Source organism: Homo sapiens, chromosome 15 (assembly GCF_000001405.40).
Source record: "Homo sapiens chromosome 15, GRCh38.p14 Primary Assembly".
Lineage (NCBI taxonomy): Eukaryota > Metazoa > Chordata > Mammalia > Primates > Hominidae > Homo > Homo sapiens.
The window spans coordinates 42,862,369-42,887,742 of NC_000015.10; the positions used below are offsets into that span (position 1 = coordinate 42,862,369).

At 39.2% G+C, this 25,374-nt stretch overlaps 1 protein-coding gene across 8 annotated transcripts in view; it reads right to left on the reverse strand.

Moving 5' to 3' along the window:
* Window positions 1–25,374, reverse strand: part of TTBK2 (tau tubulin kinase 2) — a 182,271-nt gene that overhangs the window by 123,639 nt on the left and 33,258 nt on the right. For 3 of the 8 annotated variants that reach the window (XM_047432189.1, NM_173500.4, XM_047432191.1), the window contains exons 2-3: window positions 16,181–16,316; window positions 10,243–10,390 (exon numbers count right to left, since the gene is read on the reverse strand). In XM_047432189.1, the coding sequence (XP_047288145.1) occupies window positions 10,243–10,390; window positions 16,181–16,249 (217 nt within the window). In that variant the 5' untranslated portion in view covers window positions 16,250–16,316. Of the gene's footprint in view, window positions 1–9,076; window positions 9,250–10,242; window positions 10,391–16,180; window positions 16,317–18,653; window positions 18,670–25,374 lie in introns of those variants that run through there. The other 5 variants (XM_006720402.5, XM_005254173.6, XM_005254171.6 and 2 more) reach the window with 3 other exon arrangements.

The following is a 25,374-nucleotide window of genomic DNA, read 5'->3' on the forward strand; positions in this document are numbered from 1 at the left end:
TCCAAAAGTTAATTCACCATGATCAAGTAGGCTTTATTCTTGGGATGCACAGTTGGTTCAACACATGCAAATAAAAAAATGTGATTCACCACATAAACAGAATTAAAAACAAAAACCATATAGTCATCTCAATTAGATGCAAAAAAAATTTTTCAATAAAATCCAACATTCCTTCATGATAAATACCCTCAACAGACTAGGCATCAAAAGAACATATCTCAAAATAATAGCCATCTATGGCCAGGCGCGGTGGCTCACACCTGTAATCCCAGCACTTTGGGAGGCGGAAGCAGGCAGATGACCTGAAGTCGGGAGTTCCAGATCAGCCTGACCAACATGAAGAAACCCTGTCTCTACTAAAAATACAAAATTAGCCAGGCGTGGTGGCGCATGCCTGTAATCCCAGCTACTCGGGAGGCTGAAGCTGGAGAATCGCTTGAACCAAGGAGGCAGAGGTTGCAGTAATCCGAGATCGCACCATTACACTCCAGCCTGGGCAACAGGAGCAAAACTCTGTTGCAAAAATAAACAAATAAATTAATTAATTAATAAAAATAATAGCCATCTATGACAAACCCACAGCCAACATCATACTGAATGGGTAAAAGCTAGAATCATTTCCCATGAGAACTGGAATAAGACAAGGATGCCTACTCTTACCACTCCTACTCAACATAGTATTGGAAATCCCAGCAAGAGGAATCAGGCAACAGAAAGAAATAAAAAGCATCCAAATAGGAAAAGAAGAAGTCAAACTATCTCTCTTCACTAACAACATGATTCTACACCTAGAACACCCTAAAGATTCCACCAAAAGGCCCCTAGAACTGATAAACTTCAGTGAAGTTTCAGTATACAAAACCAACGTACAAAAATCAGTAGCATTTCTATAGACCAATAATGTTCTTGCTGAGAGTCAAATCAAGAACACAAGCCTGTTTAAATAGCCACCAAAAAAAGAATGAAAAATAAATGAAACACCTAGGAATACAGCTAAGCCAGGAGGTAAAAGATCTCTACAAGGAGAACTATAAAACATTGCTGAAAGAAATCAGGAATGACATAAATAAATGTTAAAACATTCCATGCTCATGGACTGGAAGAATCAGTATTGTTAAAATGGCCATACTACCCAAAGCAATTTGCAGATTCAACACTACTCCTATCAAACTACCAATGTCATTTTTCACAGAATTAGAAAAAAAAATTCTAAAATTCTAAAATTCATATGGAACCAAAAAAGAACCCAAATATCCAAAGCAGTCTTAAGCAAAAAAGAACAAAGCATCACATTACCCAACTTAAAACTATAGTATAAAGCAACAATACAAACAAAACAGCATGGTACTGGCACAAAAACAGACACACAGACCAATGGAACAGGTTAGAGAACCCAGAAATAAAACCACACACCTATAACCAACTGATCTTTGACAAAAGTCAACAAGAGCAAGAAATGTGGAAAGGCCTCCCTATTCAATAAATGGTGCTGGGATAACTTGCTGGCCATATGCAGAAAATTGAAACTAGACCCCTATCTTTCACCACATACAAAAATTAACTCAAGATGAATTAAAGACTTAAATGTAAGCCTTCAAAGTAAAAAATCCTAAAAGAAAACCTAGGAAATACCTTTGTTGACATTGGCCTTGGCAAAGGCATTTTGGCTAAGTCCCCAGAAGTAACGCAACGATAACAAAAATTGACAGGTGGGACCTATTTGAACTAAAGAACTTCCACAAAGCAACCTAGAAACTACCAACAGAGTAAATAGACAACCTACAGAATGGGAGAAATTATTTGCAAACTATGTATCCTCCAAAGGTCTAATAATCAGAATTTATAAGAAACTTAAACAAATGAACAATAAAAAACAAATCACCCTATTTTAAAACAGGCAAAGGACAAAGTGAAATATTAAAGTGTTCAGAGAAGGCCAGGCGTGGTGGCTAACGCCTATAATCCCAGCACTTTGGGAGGCCAAAGCAGGCAGATCACCTGAAGTCAGGAGTTCAAAACCAGCCTGACCAACATGGAAAAACCCCATATCTGCTAAAAATACAAAATTAGCCAGGCATGGTGGCACATGCCTGTAATCGCAAATACTCGGGAGGCTGAGGCAGGAGAATCCCTTGAACCCGGGAGGCAAAGCTTGCAGTGAGCTGAGATAGCGCCACTGCACCCCAGCCTAGGCAATAAGAACGAAACTCCATCTCAAAAAAAAAGAAAAAAAAAGTGTTCAGAGAAAAACTCACCAACATAGATTCTGTACCCCCCAAAATTATCCTTCAGAAATGAAGGAGAAATAGACTTTCTCAGACAAAAATTGAGGTAATTTTTTGGCAGTAGACTTCTCTTACAAGACATGTTAAAAGTTCTTTGGAGAGAAGGAAAGTAATATAGGGTAGAAACCCAGATGTGAAGAAGGAAAAAGTGAAGGCAACATAATAAATTATTTTTCTTATGCTTAATTGATCTAAGAGATAACAGTTTGCTCAAAATAACAATAGCAACAATGTACTTAATTATGTATGCTTATGTATATATTTTGTGCATATAAATATATATACATGCTTATGTATGCTGAATATATATGATGACTACAATGATATAAAGGACAGGAGGGAGAAATTAGGATCATTTTATTACGAGAAAATATCTTCACATTACCTTTGAAGTGGTATAATGTTATTTGAAAGTGGACTTGGATTAGTTATAAATCTGTATTGCAAAATCTAGGGCAATCACTAAAAAAAGTAAAAACAGAAGTATAATTGATATGTTAAGAAAGGAGAGAAGGCCAGGCACAGTGGCTGTAATCCCAGTACTATGGACGGTCGAGGTGGGTCAATTGATGGAGGTCAGGAGTTAGACCAGCCTGGCCAACATGAAACCAGCCTAGCCAACATGGTGAAACCCTGTCTCTACTAAAAACACAAAAATTAGATGGGCACAGTGGCACGCATCTGTAGTCTCAACTACTTGGGAGGCTGAGGTGGGAGGATCACTTGAGCCCAGGAGGAGAGGTTGCAGTGAGCCGAGACTGCGTCACTGGCACTCCAGCCTGGGCGACAGAGTGAGACTCTATCTAAAAACAAAAACTACAAAAGACAGAAAAAGAATGGAAGACAAAAATAATAATACTAAAAAAAAAAAAAAAACCAACAACAGGCTGGGCACAGTCGTGCACACCCTTGTAATCCCAGCACTTTGTGAGGCTGAGGCAGGAGGATCACCTGAGGCCAGGAGTTGGGGGCCGGTCTGGGCAACATAGCGAGACTCTGTATCCATCAACTTTTTAAAACTTAGCTAGGCATGGCAGCACAGACCTGTAGTCCCAGTTACTCAGGAAGCCAAAGCAAGAGGATCACTTGAGCCCAGGAGTTCAAAGCTGCAGTTAGCTATGATCACACCGCTGTACTCTAGCCTGGGTGACAGAGTGAGACTCCATTTCAAAAAAGAAAAGAAAAGAAACAAAGAACAAGACAACAGATAGAAAACAATTAACAAAAATGGTAGATATTAATCTACCTATACAAACAATCACTTCAAACATCAATGGTCTAAATGTACCAAATAAAAGAGACTGGACAGACTAAATCAAAAAACAAAACCCAATTGTATGTTGTCTACAACAAACTCACTTTAAGTATGTAAATACAAATAAAGTAAATGGATGTAAATTATATACCATACTAATACTCAAAAGAAAGTAAATATTGCTATATTAATTTGACAGAGCAGGCTGTATGTCAAGAAAAATGAACAAGTATAAAGAAGGGCATCATAGCCAAGCACAGTAGCTTGCACCTGTAACCCCAGCTATTCGGGAGGCTGAGGCAGGAGGATCACTGAAGTCAGGGGTTCAGGACCAGCCTGAACAACCTAGTGAGTACATCTCCAAGAAAATTAATAATAATAGTAATAATAATAAAAGAAGAGTATTACATAATGATAAAGGGGTCAATTCTCTAAGAGGCCATATACTATGTGTCTCATAATATCTAGAAACATGCATGCATCTAACAACAGAGCTTCAAACTACATGAGGTAAAAAACAATAGAACTGTAAGGAGAAAGATGAATGCACTATTATAGCTGGAGACTTCAAAACTCTTCTATCAGAAATGAACAGACCCAGCAGCCGGAAAATCAGTAAAGACACAGCTGAACTAAACAATATCATCAATTAACTAGATATAACTGACATCTATAGACTACTTAAACCAATGACAGCAGAATACACATTCTCATGCTCACACAGAATATTCACCAAGACAGATCACATTCTGAGTGCTATAAAACATACCCTAACAAACTTAAAAAAATAGAAATCATACAATGTCTGCTCTCAGAACACAGTGGAATTAAACTAGAGATCATATTAGAAAGACAACTGGAAAAATTCTGAAATACATGGAGATTAATACAATGCACTTCTAAATAACACAGGAGTCAAAGAACTATCATAAGAAGTTTTAAACTATTTCACACTAAATAAAAACATAACATCAAAATTTCTGGGATGCACTGAAAAAGGTGCTTGAAGGGGAATTTATAGCACTGAGTGCATGTATTAGAAAAGAAAGATCTAGGCCGGGCGCAGTGGCTCACGCCTGTAATCCCAGCACTTTGAGAGGCCGAGGCGGGCGGATCACGAGGTCAGGAGATCGAGACCATCCTGGCTAACACGGTGAAACCCCGTCTCTACTAAAAATACAAAAAATTAGCCGGGCATGGTGGCAGGCGCCTGTAGTCCCAGCTACTAGGGAGGCTGAGGCAAGAGAATGGCGTGAACCTGGGAGGCGGAGCTTGCAGTGAGCCGAGACATCGCACCACTGCACTCCAGCCTGGGTGACAGAGGGAGACTCCGTCTCAAAAAAAAAAAAAAAGAAAAGAAAAGAAAAGAAAGATCTAAAATCAATAACCAAAGTTTTTACTTTAGGAAACTAGAAAACAGAAAGCAAATTAAAGCAGAAGAGAAGAAATAATAAAAATTAGAGCAGAAATCAATCAAATTAAACATAGAAAATCAATAGAGAAAATTCAAAATATTTGCAAAAGACCTATATGATAAAAGACTGATATCCAAATATTTGAAGAATTCTAAAAACTCAACAGTAAGAAAACAAATAACCTGATTTTAAAATGGGCCAAAAACTTCTGACACCCCACCAAAGAAGATATACAGATGGCAAATAAGCACATGAAAAAGCGCTCCATATCACACATCACTAGATAAATGCAAATTAATGACAATGAGATGTCACTACACACCTATCTGATGGCCAAAATCCAGAACACTGACAATACCAAATGCTGGTGAGGATGTGGAACAACAGGAACTCTCATTCATGAGCTGATGAGAACGCAAAATGATACAGCCACTTTGGAAGAAAATTTGGCAGTTACTTACAAAACTAAACATACTCTTATTATCAAATCCAGCAATAATGCTCTTTGGTATTTACCCAAACAAGTAGAAAACTTATATCCACACAAAAATCTGCACAGCAACCAAGATATCCCTCAGTAGGTGAATGGATAAATGAACTGTGGTACCTCTAGACAATGGAATATTATTAAATGTTAAAAAGAAATGACCTATCAAGCCATGAAAAGATGTGGAGGAAACTTAAGTGCATATTACTAAGTGAAAGAAGCCAATAGTGTATGATTCTAAATATATGACACCTGGAGAAGGTAAAATTAAAGAGAAAGTAAAAAGATTAGTCATTACCAGAGTTTAGGAGGCAGGGAAACAGTGCACAGAGGATTTTTAGGGCAGTAAAAATAGAGAGAGATGGTTCCTGACATACGATGGTTCAACTTACAATTTTTCAACTTAAATGGGTTTATCAGGACATAACCCCATCATAAGTTGAGGAGCACCTATATACACATAATGGTGGATATATGTCATTACACATTCGTCCAGGCCCACAGAATGTTCAATAAGAGTGAACCCTATTGTAAACTATGGGATCTGGGTGATAATGATGTATCAATGTAGGTTCATCAATTGTAACAAATGTACAGCTGTGGGGATGATGATACTGAGGGAGTACATGCATGTGTGAGGGCAGGCAATATATAGGATACCTCTATACTTTCCTCTCAATTTTGCTGTGAACCTAAAACTGCTCTTTTTAAAAAAGTCTTTTAAAAATTAGGGAAAAAAGTAAATTTAATATTTGCCTGTCTCAGGCTGGGTGTGGTGGTTCACACCTTTAATCCCAACATTCTGGGAGGCCGAGGCAAGAGGACTGCTTGAGCCCAGGAATTTGAGACCAGCCTGGGCAACAAAGCCAGACTCTACATCTCTACAAAAAAAAAAAAAAAAATTAGCTGAGTGTGGTGGCACACACCTGTGGTCCCAGCTACTCTGGAGGCTGAGGCCAGAGGACTGGTTGAGCCACAGGATCGAGGCTGCAGTGAGCTGTGTTTGGGCCACTGCACTACAGCCTGGACGACAGAGTGAGACCTTGTCTCAAAAATAAATAAATAAATAAATAAATAAATAAATAAATAAAAGATGTGCCTGTCTTACTTCAGGATTCTACATGTGTACCAAATTCTATTAAGACTAGAATGGAAATCTAACTTTTTCAGAAGTACTGATGGTTCCTGAGGAACCATCATTTTACTGTAGAAATTACTAGTGATCAGATTTGAAATCAAAGGAGAGAAGTGTTTTTTCTCTTACAATGGCACTGCAAATCTATACTTTTTTATTTGAGACAGGGTCTGGCTCCATTGCCCAAGCTAGAGTACAATGGCGCCTTCTTGGCTCACTGCAACCTCCGCCTTCTGGGCTCAAGCGATTCTCATACCTCAGCCTCCAGGGTAGCTGAGATGACAGGCGCACGCCACCACGCTTGGCTAAATTTTGAATTTTTTAGTAGAGATGGGGTTTTACCATGTCGCCCAGACTGGTCTCAAATTCCCGACCTCAGGCGATCCACCCACCTTGGCCTCCCGAAGTGCTGGGATTACAGGCATGAGCCACCACGCCTGGCCTAAACTATACTTATTAAAAAGAAAAAAAAAAAAACCTGGTGTGTTGAGATACAGCATAAGAGATCATGAAAACTGAGAAAAAAACAACAAAATAATTTTGTAATAAAAAAAGAAAATGGAGAAGTGAAGATATGTAGATATCATTACAAAACATTCATTTAAAGTTGAGGAAAAAGGAATCTAACAGATTAGAATGGCAATGACCACCTTTGCAGTTTCAAAGCAAATAAACTGAAAAACAAAGGATGAAGATAGTAGAGCTGCAAATGGAGAGGGCGAAGAGACACACATAAATGTTTATTCAGAGATGTATCTCTGAAAAATGCTGTGAATCAAAGGATAGGCCTAATAAATTTTAGGGCTATACTTATTAGGAATACTTTAGAGAATAATAATAATAAGGTATAGAAGTACTATCTAATAGGCTTATAAATAGATAATTTAGTTTATAAGTAGCTAAAACATTCAAATACATTTGTAAAAACCAAGTAAAATTCAAGAGTCTTGGCCAGGTGTAGTGGCTCACACCTGTAATCCCAACACTTTGGAAAGCCAGGACAGGAGGACAGTCTGAAGTCTGGAGTTACTCGCCTGGCCAACATGGTGAAACCCCATCTCTACTAAAAATACAAAAAATTAGCTGGGCATGGTGGCACCCACCCGTAGTCCCAGCTACTTGGGAGGCTGAGGCAGGAGAATCACTTGAACCCAGGAGGCGGAGGTTGCAGTGAGCCGATATTGTGCCACTGCACTCCAGCCTGGGCAACAGAGCAAGACTCCATCACAAAAAAAAAATAATAATAATAATAAAATTCGAGAGTCTAGCTTGATTCATTAGAGAATTGCAGGTTACATCCAGAATATTTCTGAAAACTTTGAAAAGAGAGTAATCTGACACAGCAGCATGGGGGAAGGTCACTCAGAAAATATGGGGTGAAATGCTAAGGGCTTCACACTTTAGGGTCAAAGAGAAAGGAAAATACTAGTAATGAGAGTTTTGCCTGAACTGAGAAAATCTAGGGTTGTTAAGTACAGAAAAGACTACGAGAAAGAAAATTGAGAACTGAGGGAATGTGAGAACAGACAATATCTGAATTTTGAGAAGAGGAATTGGTCTATTAAAAGGAACAAAATTAGGGGTGGGCTAATTCATCATAAAATATCTTTTCATCTTGTTAAAAAAAAAAATCGCAGCCAGGTGCAGTGGCTCATGTCTGTAATCCCAGTACTTTGGGAGACCGAGGTGGGAAGATCATGAGGTCAAGAGATCGAGACCATCCTGGCCAACATGGTGAAACCCCATCTCTACTAAATATACAAAAATTAGCTGGGTGTGGTGGTGTATGCCTGTAGTCCCAGCTACTCAGGAGGCTGAGGCAGGAGAATCGCTTGAACCCCAGAGGTGGAGGCTGCAGTGAGCCGAGATCATGCCACTGTACTCCAGTGTGGTGACAGAACAAGACTCCGTCTCAAAAAAAAAAAAAAAAATCCTTATCCCAGCTATCAAAAATTGAACATCAATTTAAAAATCAACAAATCCTATAAAGGGTTAGCATCTGGTTAAATACCTTTTCCTTACATTCAGCCTTTTCATTGGGATCATTCAGTAAGAAGTCATTAGGCCAACATGACAGCAAGAGCAGCTCCATAAAAATGTTATCAGAACGGTCCAGATTACAAAGCACCCCCAACAAAATGAAGCTGTGAGGAATAAGTATGCAGAAGGCATAAGTTAGGAAGCCAAGAGAAGAGAGTCAAGGACTACCTCACTGAAATAGGGACCAGAAGATTAAAAATCAATTTATTTTTGGAAAATGAAGGGTTCTTAAGAATGGGATGTCATGTGGTTATAAGCAGATAGGAAAAATATATTAGTTAATAACGTGAAAAATAAAATACAAGAAAAGGAGACAGCTAGCATCCAAGGGTCTCTAACTCATTCATAAAAGGTACTAAACTGATCTTCAAGTTTTATCAAATAGAATCCTGAGTAAACCATACACAAAATAAGCAGGAGAACCTCCTGAAGGGGTGGCAAAGCTGTATCCTGCCTCACCTGGAAGCATCTCCTTGGAGCCAAGTAGGAGAAAGGTGAAGTGGCACTATCCACACCAAGCTGATGCTGACATACCCTTCATGGGCTTGGCTGATAGTAAAACAGGTATCCTGGGATCTGTGCAACCCAGGAAGATGTAGCTCTGGCTGTACCTGTTTGTAGCCTCTACACCACTGAGTTGAGAACAACAACTCAAGAGAAATGTGGAGAAAATAGAAAAGGTCAGAAAAAGAAAGAGCCATCCTTTTACCTATTCTTTCTTCTCCAATTATTTATTTTTCCAGTATTGACAATAGGTGTTAATCTATCCACTGTTTTCCTGATTTACCATGTTGTGGAGATGCTAAGTTTGAGCTAAAAATTACTATAAAAACAGATCTATAATTTTACTGGCATCATTCTCTAATCAAATGAGCCAACTGGTAGAGAAACTTGGATACGCTTGGGGCAAAGGAAAATGATCATCCCTATTTAATTTTGTTTCAGATCAAACATTTAAACATCAGTAATATCAGAGAGTATGTCATTAAGCTGAGAATACAAAGGTGAACACAAACTAGCAATATATTCAGGGTTTTATACCACTGGATTCATGTCAGAAAAAAAATTATTCATTCTTGTAATAAAAACAAATAGGGCCCAAGTAGTAAAACGGACTTCAAAAATGACGACAGGGCCAGAAACAGTTATTCTCTGAAACTGAAGCTAATATGAATCAACATATAATCAACAGTATTATTTTTAATCCATCCTGCAGTGTGATTTGAAGGCAGCTTCCTTACTGTGATTAAAACATATTTAACATCCAAAGACTTGAGTAGAGACAACTCAGAGGTATCTGTTATTGGTAGTTTAAAAAAGAAAGGCAAATAGCAGACTTATGACAATACTTTCCGAAGCAGTAAAAATTCTGCTAATTCACACTCTCTTATCCTTACTCCATGAAAAAGAACTCCCAAAGCCCAATTATTCTAAGTAATTACATACTTCTACTACTACTAACTCATTATAAAATTTCCAAGAGAAAAATGCTCAGCGTATTTATACCCGGCTGACACCAGTACATTCAATTAGTACTTAAAGAATGTAATTAAGGTTCAGGAAGATACAAATAAATTATAAATTAACATACAAATCATAAATTGTATATTCTACAAAGGGCTTACCTTGCAGCTTTTTCAAAACAGCAACTTCCATTTTCAGAACTTGTTTTGGTTGTTGAGCTGATTCCACCTTCAGTGCAACATTTTCCCTGGTGAGCATGTCCAAGGCATCGTAAATTTCTCCAAAGCCCCCACCCCCAATCTTTCTCAACTGCACAGAAAATAAGAACACACACACTCTAAATTACTAGAAGATTCTAACTTGAAAGCAATTGATCTCTTATATTTAGAAAATGTATAATTTTATAATCTGTTTTTTGATAAAATATTTAAATATTGTTAAATTAACTATGTATATGCCAAGAAGAAAACATATGCCTGAAAATAACATCAAAACCTTTCCCCACAGGTTTATCCACAACAAAGTAATGAAATTATTTCACTCACAAACAATTTTAAAATTTGGTCAACAGCCAGCATCAGAAATGTCACCAACAATACAGTATTTGAAAGAATCACTTCCCACAAATGCCAGTCTACAACCAGATTTGTTGTTTTAATTTTAAGGAAGACTTTTTAAACTTTTTAAACTATGAAATCCTGGCTGAGTGCAGTGGCTCACACCTGTAAACCTAGCACTTTGGGAGGCCAAGGCGGGCGGCTCACTTGAAGTCAGGAGTTCGAGACCAGCCTGGCCAACATGGTGAAACCCCCATCTCTACTAAAAAATACAAAAATTAGCCAGGCGTGGTGGTACATGCCTGTAATCCCAGCTACTTAGGAGGCTGAGGCAGGAGAATTGCTTGAACCCAGGAGGCAGAGGCAGAAGTAAGCCAAGATCCTGCCACTGCATTCCAACCTGGGTGACAGAGAGAGACTCCATCTCAAAAACGAAAAAAACAAAAAACACTACAAAATCACCCAGCCCTCTCACCACCACTTACCATTCTCTCTGAGGTACCTAACAGGGTCCACAGAGCAGGCAGAGAACTCTAGTACCAAACTATCCCAGAATTCACTATACATCTATTTATTCAAATAAGAGTAAAAAAAAATCAATTTAAGCAAGTTCAACAAGCACTATTCTCTCTGATAAAATAAATATGTTAGCTTAACTGGGGAATATCAGGATGCTGGTGTGAGTATCATAAGCAAGTTCTGAAGAGTCAGTGGCAAGTGCACCTGTAGTGTCTGAAAGCTGGGTTGTGGGGGTAGATACTTCAAGCTAGATACAGCAATTTTTTTCCATTTCCTGAAACTAGGTTGTCTCCTTATCACATTATCCAACATCCAGGATGTGATATAATGTAGGAAGTCATCATAGGCACAGGGTCCTAAATCATAACCAGCTCAAGACACCCCAGCTCCATGTTCTACCTCTTTCTCCACTTGATCTTCACTGATTACTATATCTAGGTTAATTTCTTTATCTTCTGAATTTCTACAGTAATTATTTATTTAATCATTCAATTAATCACTTTACCAGGCCATACCTCAGATAGCACTTGTATTATTGCCTTGTATTTTTTAAATTAAAGACCTGTCCATGAAATAACTTGTTTTCAAACTGTCATGTTGCTTAACTTTCCATTGTCAATGTCCTATCCTGCTACAGAGAAACTAAGCCTTTTCAAAGAGATGGCCATTTGTTCTATTCTATTTCCTTGTGTCCCCCATAGCATTTGGCAAAGTGCTAACTTATAAATATAATCCTATATTTATTACTTTGCACATGTGAGCCATAATCCTTCTTTATTTTTTTATTTTTTTTATTTTTTTATTTTTTGAGTTGGTAGTCTCACACTGTTGCCAGGGCTGGAGTGCAGTGGCATGATCTTGGCCCACTGCAACCTCCGCCTCCTGGGTTCAAGCAATTCTCCTGCCTCAGCCTCCCCAGTAACTGGGATTACAGGTGTGCACCACCACGCTTGGCTAATTTTTGTATTTTTAGTAGAGATGGGGTCTCACCATGTTGGCCAGGCTGGTCTCAAACTCCTGATCACAGGTGATCCACCCACCTCTGCCTCCCAAAGTGCTGGGATTCCAGGCGTGAGCCACCACACCCGGCCGATCCTGCTTTATTTTCATTTGGTGATGGGAAAGGAATACTACTTGAAACTACAGGATGAGTTCAAGATTTTTTTAAAGTTCCAGAAGTGGCCGGGCGCGGTGGCTCACACCTGTAATCCCAGCACTTTGGGAGGCCGAGGCGGGCGGATCATGAAGTCAGGAGTTTGAGAGCAGCCTGACCAACATCGTGAAAGCCCGTCTCTACTAAAATTATAAAAATTAGCCGGGCGTGGTGGCATGTGCCTGTAATCCCAGCTACTCAGGAGGCTGAGACAGGAGAATCGCTTGAACCTGGGAGGCAGAGGTTGCAGTGAGCCAAGATCACACCATTGCACTCCAGCCTGGGCAACAGTGTGAGACTGCCTCAAAAAAAAAAAAAAATTGATACTTATGATTCTTTATATTTTGTCCATTAAATAAAACCTAGTGTAGGTTTAAAAACTCATAAACAGTACCAAACAGATTCCTTTCTAACTAAGGACTGGTAGAGGTAGCTTCACGTTTTACCTCACAAAAAACCTTACCAAATGACAGAATAAAACATCTAGGCTGAAGTAAATGTTCTTGCTTCTTAGTCTATTTCTATTCCTATAATGCCATTTAAACATTAATACAGCATTTTTTAATTGGCCTGACAAAGCCCTAAGAAATTATCAAGGTTTATGAGGCAAAGAGACAGAGGCAGTTTAGTATGATTGGGGTACACAGATTACAAGAAGAATAGAGGTAAGGTCTGTGGAAGATTGTATTTTCCAACGATAGGCACAACAATATCATCCATTCCTGCTCTTCTTCAATGTGAAGAAAACCTTTCACACTGATGAAAACAATGTGACCTTGCTACTCCCCCACCAAGAGGTAGAGTCCATTTTCCCCTTAACTGTTTTCATCAACAGAATAGGGCAAAGTGACACTGTGCCAGCTCTGAGGATTGCCCTTAACCAGCCTGGGAGCTTCCATTTCCTGTCTCTTGAAAGCTAGCTACCATGTAAGAAATGGGACCATCTGGCCAGGCACAGTGGCTCACATCTGTAATCCCAGCACTTTGGGAGGTCGAGTCAGGTGAATCACCTGAGGTCGGGAGTTCCAGACCAGACTGGCCAACATGGCAAAACCCCGTCTCTACTAAAAATACAAAAATTAGCCAGTGTGATGGCGCGTGCCTGTAATCCCAGCTACTTGGGAGGCTGAGGCAGGAGAGTCGCTTGAACCCGGGAGGCGCAGGCTGCAGTGAGCTGAGATCACGCCTCTGCACTCCAGCCTGGGCGACAGAGCAAGACTCCGTCTCAAAAAAAAAAAAAAAAAAAAAAGAAATGGGACCATCCTGAGAAGCCACAGCCACATGGAGATGCCCTAGAAAATGAGCCACCAGGTTGGGGGTTGGGGGTTGGGGGTGAAGAGCTAAGGACCTCAAGATACCGGACAAGTGAGTGAAGAAACCATGTATAAATGGATCCTCTAACCAAAACAATCTTCCTAGTGCCACATGGTTAAGAGACAAATCACCCAGGCAAACTCTTCCCAAATTCCTACGTCACAAAACTGTAAGCAAAATAAGCCTCTAAATTTTGATGTAGTTTGTTATATAACAATAAATAACTAAAACACCATCCATAACAGTGAGCTTGTCATTTTTTTTTTAACTAAAAATGCCACTATGCCCTCCCAAATTTTGGAGATAAGTTGCTCAGATATATTAGTTCTAATTACCAGGACAAGGGAACCATGCCAATCAAGAGTTTCACTTGTCACCTTTTGATATGTCCACTGGAGAACAAACCAGCCTTAACACAGTGCTTACTATAATCCTCTCACCAAAGCAACACTCATGTCTGACTTACATAAAAGATTAGCAACTGCTGAATCTCCCTGCACTAGTCCATGATAATGACATAGTTTCCTTATATTTGGTCAAGTAAATTTTCAAAGCCTACTGACTTACCTAATCAGTAAAACACATTGTACCATACAAATAAAAAATAAAAATTCTATTTCTAAAGGGTCTTCTTTTTCCAATCTGTTCATAGATTAAGGAAACCATTAAAATAGCTTTGTGAAACCTACTAATGGAAAAAAACTTTGGTGGACTGTGTAGCAATAAAAAAATATTTAAATATATCCCAAACAAAAATAGTTCCTTTAAGAAACAAGCAGTATTAGAGAGATGGCAGATTCCAGGTCTAGGAAAAGAAAGCCATTGAAAGACGATTAGGATCCTGTCAAAAGAACTCAGAAGACAATGTGAAGTGTGTCCCCTTAGTCAAATAAGACAATTTAAACATTTATAAGGATAACTACCATTCACCGAAACACATCAAATTTGATTAAATCCATGAATTCTTAATTACACTAAAAAACAAATCTAATTGATCACTTTTGGAGAATGGCAAGAAACCAATTCATTGTTTTGAAAACTGGTAAATTAAAAAAGAGAAGCAAGTATTTATCTTGTTTTCCTAATCAAATTGTACCTCAAGATAATCAAATAATTGATGATAAAAAACTTGTCCTTATAGATACATTTCAACTAATAAATGAATTATGGAATATCACCAATCTGCAATCCCTAACTAACAGACCTAGGTAATGATCATCAATAGTGTTAACACCACAAAAAAGATAGACAGACGGACAATAAGATATTATATGCCTCCTAGTGAAGGCTCACAATAACATTTATGAAAAAAAGATGTCCCCATCTCAAAACAAATCTAAAGTCAGATCTAATCAAGCCTGTAGATACAACTACCAATTTACATGAAATACACAAGACAGAGAAATGTGTTAACCCCAAATGGAAGCAAATAGCAAAATCCAAACCATGGGAAAGTCTACAGACAAATCACCTAATTTCTTCAGTAAATAAATTGTAAGGAAAAAAAAAGAGCAATAAAGAGGAAGGAACCTAGAAATGAAAAGTAATGGCAACTAATTACAATATCCAGGTTTTATTTGGATCTTGATTCAGGCTATTCAAAATACTTTACAATCAGGAGAATGTGAAAACTAAAACTGTATTTGGTAATATTAAGAAATGATTACTTTTTTTTAGTACTACTACAGTATTTTATAACAGTAGAAAGTAGCTGAAAAATACTACATGCTAACAGACAAAATGATACACAATCTTGGGGGAGGAGTCAGCAGGGAAGAAATGATTATTTTTAAGGTATGATAATGGTATTATGATTATGTTTTTAAAAGTAAGTCCTTATTTTTTAGAGATACATACTGAAGTATACACAGAAGAAATGCTAAGGTTAAATATCGCTTCAAAATATTCTGGGAGAGAGATGAAACAAAATTAATCATACATTGATGACTATTTAACTTGAGTCATGAGAACATGGAGGTTCATTATATAAGTCTATTTTTTATGTATACTTACAATTTTCCTTAATAAAAAAAAAAAAAGAGAGAGCAGCTCATTGTACTTCCTTTTTTTTTCCCGGGTTCACGCCATTCTCCTGCCTCAACCTCCTGAGTAGCTGGGACTACAGGCGCCTGCACCACGCCCAGCTAATTTTTTTTGCTTTTTTTTTTTTTAGTAGAGATGGGGTTTCATCGTGTTAGCCAAGATGGTCTTGATCTCCTGACCTCGTGATCCGCCCGCCTCGGCCTCCCAAAGTGCTGGGATTATAGGCGAGAGCCACTGCGCCCGGCCAGCTCATTGTACTTTCAAACACTGTATTTTTTTCATCTGTTCAAAAATTTAGTACTATACGAAGCAAGAGTAAGAATTAGGGTATAAACAGAGCTTAATCATAGAAAAATAACTGTAAATAACTGCTTTAGGCATATAAGTAATGTATGTAATATTTCCTAATGAAATGCTATTTTTATCAGGATACCAAAAATTACCCCCCGATATGTATACACACACACACACACACACACACACACACACACACTCTCTGAGATGTACACTCACCACTTTCCATCTTTCTTTCACTAGGATTCCAACACTCAGGATATCCAGCTGCTCTCCTCCCCCACTCATTGCAATACACTGATATGGTAGAACAGCTACACAGGCATCCAGTTCCCAAGGGTGGTTTCCATTTAACCTAAAACAACAACAACAAAAAATAGTAGCAGTATTTAGGGTTAACTAATCAACACAAATAACATTCCAGCATCAGGAAGCACTACTAATACTATACACTAATTAGGCTATTTTGTTGGGAAGAAGGGGAAAAAGACCTAGAAATGTTTGATGCGTATTTTTAAAACCACGTATCTTTCTATTACAGATGCCCAGTGAAATAGCTAGGCATTACAAAGACACCGTTAAAACACAGATATTATTTATAATAACTGAGATTGTTAGATTATAGGGCAAGCATGATGTCAATGGCACTTGAACTAGGTAGACAACTATCCTGAGAACAATATACTGCTGAAAAGACATAGTACCTAATTTACAACTGCTTATAGTTTGTAACTTAGAGCTTAATATCATTAGAGCTAATAATATTTTAATGTTACAAAATGCACAGGAAATAAATACTAACAAATAAAAGGGTTGTTGACCAAACCTCATTCAAGGACATTGTAAGAAAAAGAGGATACTAATAAGATGAACAGCATACCTGTAGAAAATGAAGATATAGCAGAAAAATATGGCCTAAAGGAGATGAAAACTGTAACCAGTCCAGGAATGAGAAAGATACTGATACAGAGTGACTTTCAAGATACATTGTTTAGTGAAAAAGGCAAGACAGTAAAGGGTGCTGTACTTTGTAGAAAAAGGAGATAAATGTTGAGTATATTTAAGTATCTGCTTTTGTTTTTTAAAAAGAAAGAAAGAAGAAATAAGCCAAAACTTAATGAAAATGATGGATTCTTTATAGCAGGAGTCAGCAAACTTTTTCAATACAGGTCTAGAGAGTAAATATTTCGGTCCCTAGGCCACATACTGTATTCTCTGTCATAGCTACTCAATTCTGCCACTGCAGCACAAAAGCCATACACAATTATGTAAACGAATGAGTATGGCTGTGCTCCAACAAAATCTTATTTACAAAAAAAAAAAAAAGTGGGCCAAATTTGGCCTGCAGACTGTTTACCAACCTTTACTCAATAGCAAAAAAAACAGGCCAGGAGTGGTAGCTCACACCTGTAATCCCAGCATCTTGGGAGGCTAAGGCAAGAGGGTTGCTTGAGCCCGGGAGTTTGAGACCAGCCTAGCCAACATAGGGAGATCCCGTCTCTACAACAAATTTAAAAATTAGGCAGATGTGGTTGCATGTACTCGTAATCCCAGCTACTCAGGAGTCTGAGCGGGGAGGATCACATAAGCCTGGAAGGTTGAGGTTGCAGTGAGCTGTGAAGGTGCCACTGCATTCCAGCCTGGGTGACAGAAGAAGATCCTGTCTCAAAAAAAAAAAAAAAAAGAAAAGAAAAGAAAAACAGGATGGAAGGGATAAGAAAGAAAGCCAGACTTCTGTGAATGCATCTCGTGGTATAGTTTTGATTTTTGAACCATGTAAATGTTTTACATATGATTAAAAAAAAGTTCTAAACTCCAAATTCCAGAAAGGACCGTAACAACAAGTAATCATCAGAACTGGTGTTAAACCCATCCTAAGCCCATCAAAGGAAGCTTTGAATGAATGATATCACTTCAGCAAGTCACCAGTCAGCAACAGCCACAATTCATAACCACATTTACATAATAAAAGGTCAATCAATTCCTAAATACTCCTACTTCACCAATCCCTGAACTCCATAATTCCTCAAATCCTATTTAAGACCAGCAGTTTCTTTTCTTTTCTTTTTTCTTTTGAAACAAAGTCTTGCTCTGTCACCCAGGTTGGAGTGCAGTGGTGCAATCATAGCTCATTATATCCTTGAACTCCTGGGCTCAAGCAATCTTCCCATCTCAGCCTCCCAAGGAGCTGGGACTACAGGCACGCACTACCATACCTGGATAACATTGTTTGTTTGTTTATTTTTAATAGACAGGGTCTCACTATGTTGCCCAGGCTGGTCTCAGATTCATGGCCTTGAGTGATCCTCCCACCTCAGCCTCCCAAAATGGTGGGATCATAAGCATGAACCACTGCACCTGGTCGGGCAGTTTGTTTCATTCACAGAAATTATGTCCTACAATTATGGCTCTCCCTTGTATATCACACAATAAATTTAGCATTTTGTTCAGAAAATGAATGATGGAATGTTCAAGAGACAAAAATTTTTAAAAAACACTAAAAATAAAGGACAATCTCTAAAAATTCAAAACAAACTGAAACCAGTAATCTACTGCAATCTGTTCCCCAAAAACCTATGGAACTAAAAAAATTAAAAAAAAAATAAAATAAACCATTGCATCCATTGCATACTGAGTTTGTGCCATAGTCACACAGAAAACAATTACTTCAGCTGGGCATGGTGGCTCATACCTGTAATCCCAGCACTTTGGGAGGCCAAGACAGGCAGATCTCTTGAGGTCAGGAGTTCGAGACCAGCCTGGGCATTATGGCAAGACCCTGTCTCTACTAAAAATACAAAAATTAGGCAAGGCGTGGTGGCAGGTGCCTATAGTCCCAGCTACTCAGGAGGCTGAGGCAGGAGAATGGCGTGAACCCGGGAGGCGGAGCTTGCAGTGAGCCAAGATTGTGCCACTGCACTCCAGCCTGGATGACAGAGCAAGCTTCCGTCTCAAAAAAAAAAAAAAAAAAAAAAAAATCAACATTTTCCACAGAATTTAAATAAGACTCAAATTTCAAAAAAAAAAAAAAACCTTTTAATGTTGAGCATACAATCCAAAATTACCAAGCACACAAAGAACCAAGAATATCTCAATTTACATACGAAAGCACAATCAATAGATGCAAATGCCAAGATGACACAGATTTAGGACTTATCAGGAAAAATATTCCAAAAAATAAAGGTGAACACCCTAGAAATGAATAGAAAGATATAAAGTCTCAGTAAAGAAATGAGACATAAAGAAAGAAATTAAAATTTTAGGCCAGGCGCGGTGGCTCATGCCTGTAATCATAGCACTTTGGGAGGCTGAGGCAGGCAGATCACAAGGTCAGGAGTTCGAGACCAGCCTGGCCAACATGGTGAAACCCCATCTCTACTAAAAATACAAAAATTAGCGGGCGTGGTAGTAGGTGCCTGTAATCCCAGCTACTCGGGAAGCTGAGGCAGGAGAATCGCTTGAACCCAGGAGGTGGAGGTTGCAATGAGCCAAGATCGCACCATTGCACTCTAGCCTAGGCAACAGAACGAGACTCTGTCTCAAAAAAAAAAATAAAAAATTTAGAAGTGAAAAATACAGTAAATGAAATTTTAAAATTTCACTGGATGGGGTCAATAGAAAAATGGCAGTGTCAGAGTAAAGAGTCAGTAAACTGGAAGATAAATCTATAGCAATTACACAATGTGAAGATAAAATATTTTTATAAATGAATATAGACCCCAGGGACTAGTGGGACAATACCAAAAATTCTAATATTTGTGCCATTAGAGTTGAAAAAGAAGAGGTAACAGTTTAGGACAGAAAAAAATAAAAAATAGCTAAAACTTCACAAATTTTGTGAAGGAAAAAAACAACAGATTGAGGAAGCTGACTGAATACAATAAGCACAACACACACACACACACAAAAACAACTCTTAAACATATCATAACCAAACTGCTGAAAATTAAACAGAAAAAAATATATACTTAAAAATAACTAGAAAACAGCCAGGCACGGTGGCTCACACCTATAATCCCAGCACTTCGTAAGGCCAAGGCAGGCAGATCACCTGAGGTCAGGAGTTTGAGACCAGCCTGGCTAGCATGGTGAAACCTCATCTCTACTTAAAATACAAAATATATATATATATATATTAGCCAGGTGTGGTGGTGCATGTCTGTAATCCCAGATACTCAGGAGTCTGAGGCAGAAGAATCACTTGGACCCAGGAGTTGGAGGTTGCAGTGAGCCAAGATTGCGCCATTGCACTCCAGCCTGGACAACACAGTGAGACTTCATCTCAAAATAATAATAACAATAATAATGATAACTAGATAAAAATAATATATTACTTATAGGGTAACAATGATTTGACTGACTGCGGATTTCTCATCAGAAATCATAAAGGCCAGCAAGAAATAGAAACACATATTTAAAGTACTAAAAGTAAAGAACTGTCAACCCACAATTCTATATGCAGAGAAAATATCCTTCAGAGATAAGGACATTCTCAGATAAAGGAAAATTAAGACTATGTGTTGTCAGCAGACCTGCTCTTAAAGAATTGTCAAGGAAAGTTCTTCTGAGAAAAGGGTAATTATAATACAGAAAAATCTGGAATAACAGCAATGGAGGAAGAGCAATAGAAATCCAGGGAAGTATAAGAGCCTGATTTTCTCCTCTTGAGTTCTCAAAAATATGCTTGCAAGTTAAAGGCAAAAATTAAAAACTGGCTGAAGGGATTTCCAATGTAAACAGATATAACACTACTCCAAAAAAAAGGTAGAGGGCTGGGCGCGGTGGCTCACACCTGTAATCCCAACACTTTGGGAGGCTGAGGCAGGTGGATCACCTGAGGTCGGGAGTTCGAGACCAGCCTGACCAACATGGAGAAACCCCGTCTCTTCTAAAAATACAAAATTAGCCAGGTGTGGTGACACATGCCTGTAATCCCAGCTACTCGGGAGGCTGAGGCAGGAGAATTGAACCCAGAAGGTGGAGGTTGCGGTGAGCCGAAATTGTGCCATTGCACTACAGCCTGGGTGACAAGAGCGAAACTCCACCTCAAAAAAAAAAAAAAAAAAAGTAGAATGGTAAAGGGACTCATGTAAAGGGACTCAAGATTGCGGTTAGGTTTCTGCGTTATTTTAGGTAATGTAATATTCATATTATGTAATATTTATATAACATTTAATATTTAATGTAATAACTCTAAGTAGATGGTAAAAAGTAGATATATCGTAAGCCCTATAGCAACCGCTTTAAAAACTACACAAAGAGATATCAGGAAAAGCAAAAAAAATAAAAATAAAGTGGAATACCAAAACATGTTAAGATAATCCAAAAGTAGACAGAAAGAAACAGAAGAACAAAAATAAAGGGACAAACATAAAACAAATAATAGAATGGTTGACCTGAATCCAAACTTACCTGTAATTACCTTAAGTATAAATGGCATAAACACACCACTGAAAAGACAGAGATTAGCAGGATAAATATGATTCTATAAGAAACTCACTTCAAAAATAATATGTAGGTTAAAGTGAATATACTTAAATACCACTGAAAATAATAACAAAAATAATACTATTATTATGTAGGTTAAAAGAAACGGGAAAAAAGTATACCATGCAAATATTAACAAAAGAAAAGCTGGAGTATCTATTATAATATCTGACAGTGTTGACTTCAGGGCAAAGAAAATCACTGGAGATAAAAAGAGATACAGAACCATGGAAGAGCCAATTTACAAAGAAATTATAAACATGTATGCACCTTAAAAAGACCATCAAAACACATGAAATAAAAATCAATGAACTGAAAGGAGAAACAGACAAATCCGTGGTTATAACTGGAGTAGACAAATCCATAGCTATAACTGAAGACTTCACTCTTTTCCCAAATAAATAACTAGACAGAAAATTGTCAAGAATACAGAAGCTAAAACAGTACCATTGGGGTATAATTGTAAAATATATTTGGTTGTGATATTGTGGCTTATATTAATAATAAGAAATATAAATATTTGGTCTTTGTCCCTGGTTCTTGTTCAGCGCTCATAAAGCCCTTGTAATTTCTGAAGTGACTGGGGTGCTAGGAGCATCTTTTGGTATAATATTTGGTTTTTATACTCGGTTCCTGAAATAGCTCCAGATAGATAAAAGATGATAGGAGTGAATTTTGTTATTCATAACAAGCCCCTTTCAACCACATCTGGGATTTTGTTAATGAGGTGACTTTAGGAAACCTTTAAAGATAGACGGCTGGTTGCCAGGGGAACCAACCCTGTGATTAGAGGGCTGGAACTTTCGGCCCCACTCACAAGCTCTGGGGAGGAGAGAGATGCTGAAGGTTGAGTAGATTTCCAATGGCTAATGGTTTAATCAATCAGGCCTTAATGAAGTCTCCATTAAAAACACAAAAGCACAAGTTTTGGAAACTAATAAGTGTCAGGCCTCTGAGCCCAAGCTAAGCCATCATATCCCCTGTGACCTGCACGTATACATCCAGATGGCCTGAAGCAACTGAAGATCCACAAAAGAAGTGAAAATAGCCTTAGCTGATGACATTCCACCATTGTGATTTGTTTCCCCCCACCCTTAATAAGGTTCTTTGTAATCTCCCCCACGCTTAAGAACATTCTTTGTAATTCTTCCCACCCTTGAGAATGTACTTTGTGAGATCTATCCCCCGCCCACAAAACATTGCTCCTAACTCCACCACCTATCCCAAAACCTATAAGAACTAATGATAATCCCACCACCCTTGCTGACTCTCTTTTCGGGCTCAGCCCACCTGCACCTAGGTGAAATAAACAGCCTTGTTGCTCACACAAAGGCTGTTTGGTGGTCTCTTCACACAGACACGTGAGACATTTGGTGCCAAAGACCTGGGTCAGCAGGACTCCTTCGGGAGACCAGTCCCCTGTCCTCACCCTCACTCCGTGAAGAGATCTACCTATCACCTCAGGTCCTCAGACCAACCAGCCCAAGGAACATCTCACCGATTTTAAATCGGGTAAGCAGCCCTTTTTACTCTCCAACCTCTCTCACTACCCCTCAACCTCTTTCTCCTTTCAATCTTGGCGTCACCCTTCAATCTCTCCTTCTCTTAATTTCAATTCCTTTCATTTCTGGTAGAGACAAAGGAGACACATTTTATCCGTGGACCCAAAACTCCGGCACCAGTCACGGACTCAGGAAGGCAGCATTCCCTTGGTGTTTAATCATTGCAGGGACGCCTGCCTGATTATTCACCCACGTTTCAGAGGTGTCTGACCATGCAGGGTCACCTGCCTTGGTCCTTCACCCTTAGCAGCAAGCACCGCCTTTCTGGGGGGCAAGTACCCCCCGACCTCTTCTTTTGGTGTCTCTACCCCTTCTCCACTTTCCTGGGGGGCAAGCACTCCCCACCCCTTCTCTCCATGTCTCTACCCTTCTCTTTAAACTTGCCTCTTTCACTATGGGCAACCTTCCACCCTCCATTCCTCCTTCTTCTCCCTTAGCCTGTGTTCTCAAGAACTTAAAACCTCTTCAACTCTCGCCTGACCTAAAATCTAAGCGTTTTATTTCCTTCTGCAATACCGCTTGGCCCCAATACAAACTCGACAGTAGTTCCAAGTGGCCAGAGAATGGCACTTTTGATTTGTCTATCCTGCAAGATCTAGATAATGTTTGTCAAAAAATGGGCAAATGGTCTGAGGTGCCTGACGTCCAGGCAATCTTTTACACATTGGTCCCTCCCTAGTATTTGTTCCCAATGAGACTCATTCCAAATCTTTCTTCTTTCTGTCCTATCTGTTCCTTCAGTCTCCACCCCAAGCTCTGAGTCCTCTGAATCCTTCTTTTCTACGGACTCATCTGACCTCTCCCCTTCTCCCCAGGCTGCTCCTCGCCAGGCCAAGCCAGGTCCCAATTCTTCTTCAGCTTCTGCTCTCCCACCCTATAACCCTTCTATCACCTCCCCTCCCCACACCCAGTCTGGCTTATGGTTTTGTTCTGCGACTAGCCCTCTCCCACCTGCCCAACAATTTCCTCTTAAAGAGGTGGCTGGAGCTAAAGGCATACTCAAGGTTAATGCTCCTTTTTTCTTTATCTGACCTCTCCCAAATCAGTTAGCATTTAGGCTCTTTTTCATCAAATACAAAAACCCAGGCCAGTTCATGGCCCGTTTGGCAGCAACTCTTAGACGCTTTACCGCCCTAGACCCAGGCGGGCCAGAGGCTGCCTTATTCTTAATATGCATTTTATTACCCAATCCGCTCCCGACATTAGAAAAACTCCAAAAATTAGATTCCGGCCCTCAAACCCCACAACAGGACCTAATTAACCTCACCTTCAAGGTGTACAGTAATAGAGAAGAGTTGCAACTACTTGACTCTGCTGTGAGAGAAAACCCCAGCCATATCTCCAGCACACAAAAACTTCAAAACGCCTAAGCCACAGCGGTCAGGCGTTCCTTCAGGACTTCCTCCCCCAGGATCTTGCTTCAAGTGCCGGAAATCTGGCCACTAGGCCAAGGAATGCCCACAGCCTGGGATTCCTCTTAAGTCGTGTCCCATCTGTGAGGGACGCCACTGGAAATTGGACTGTCCAACTGGCCCAAGGCTCTGACTTACTCCTTCCCAGATCTTCTTGGCTTAGCAGCTGAAGACACACTGCCCAATCTCCTTGGAAGCCTCAGATGCTTTGGGTAACTCTTACAATGGAGGGTAAGTCCGTCCCCTTCTTAATCAATACGGACGCTACCCACTCCACATTACCTTCTTTTCAAGGGCCTGTTTCCCTTGCCTTCATAAGTGTTGTGGGTATTGACAGCCAGCCTTCTAAACCTCTTTATACTCCCCAACACTGGGGCCAACTTGGAAAACATTCTTTAATGCACTCCTTTTTGGTCATCCCCACCTGCCCAGCTCCCTTATTAGGTCAAGACATTTTAACTAAATTATCTGCTTCCCTGACTATTCCCGGGCTATAGCCACACCTCATTGCTGCCTTTTTCCCCAGTTCAAAGACTCCTTCACATCCTCTCCTTGTATCTCCCCACCTTAATCCACAAGTATAGGATACCTCTACTCCCTCCTTGGCAATAAATGATGCACCCCTTGCCATCCCATTAAAACCTAATCACCCTTACCCCGCTCAACGCCAATATCCCATCCCACAGCACACTTTAAAAGGATTAAAGCCTGTTATCACTTGCCTGTTACAGCATGGCCTTTTAAAGCCTATAAACTCTCTTTATAATTCCCCCATTTTACCTGTCCAAAAACTGGACCAGTCTTACAGGTTAGTCCAGGATCTGCGCCTTATCAACCAAATTGTTTTGCCTATCCACCCTGTGGTGCCAAACCCATACACTCTCCTATCCTAAATACCTCCCTCCACAACCCATTATTCTGTTCTAGATCTCAAACATGCTTTTTTTTCACT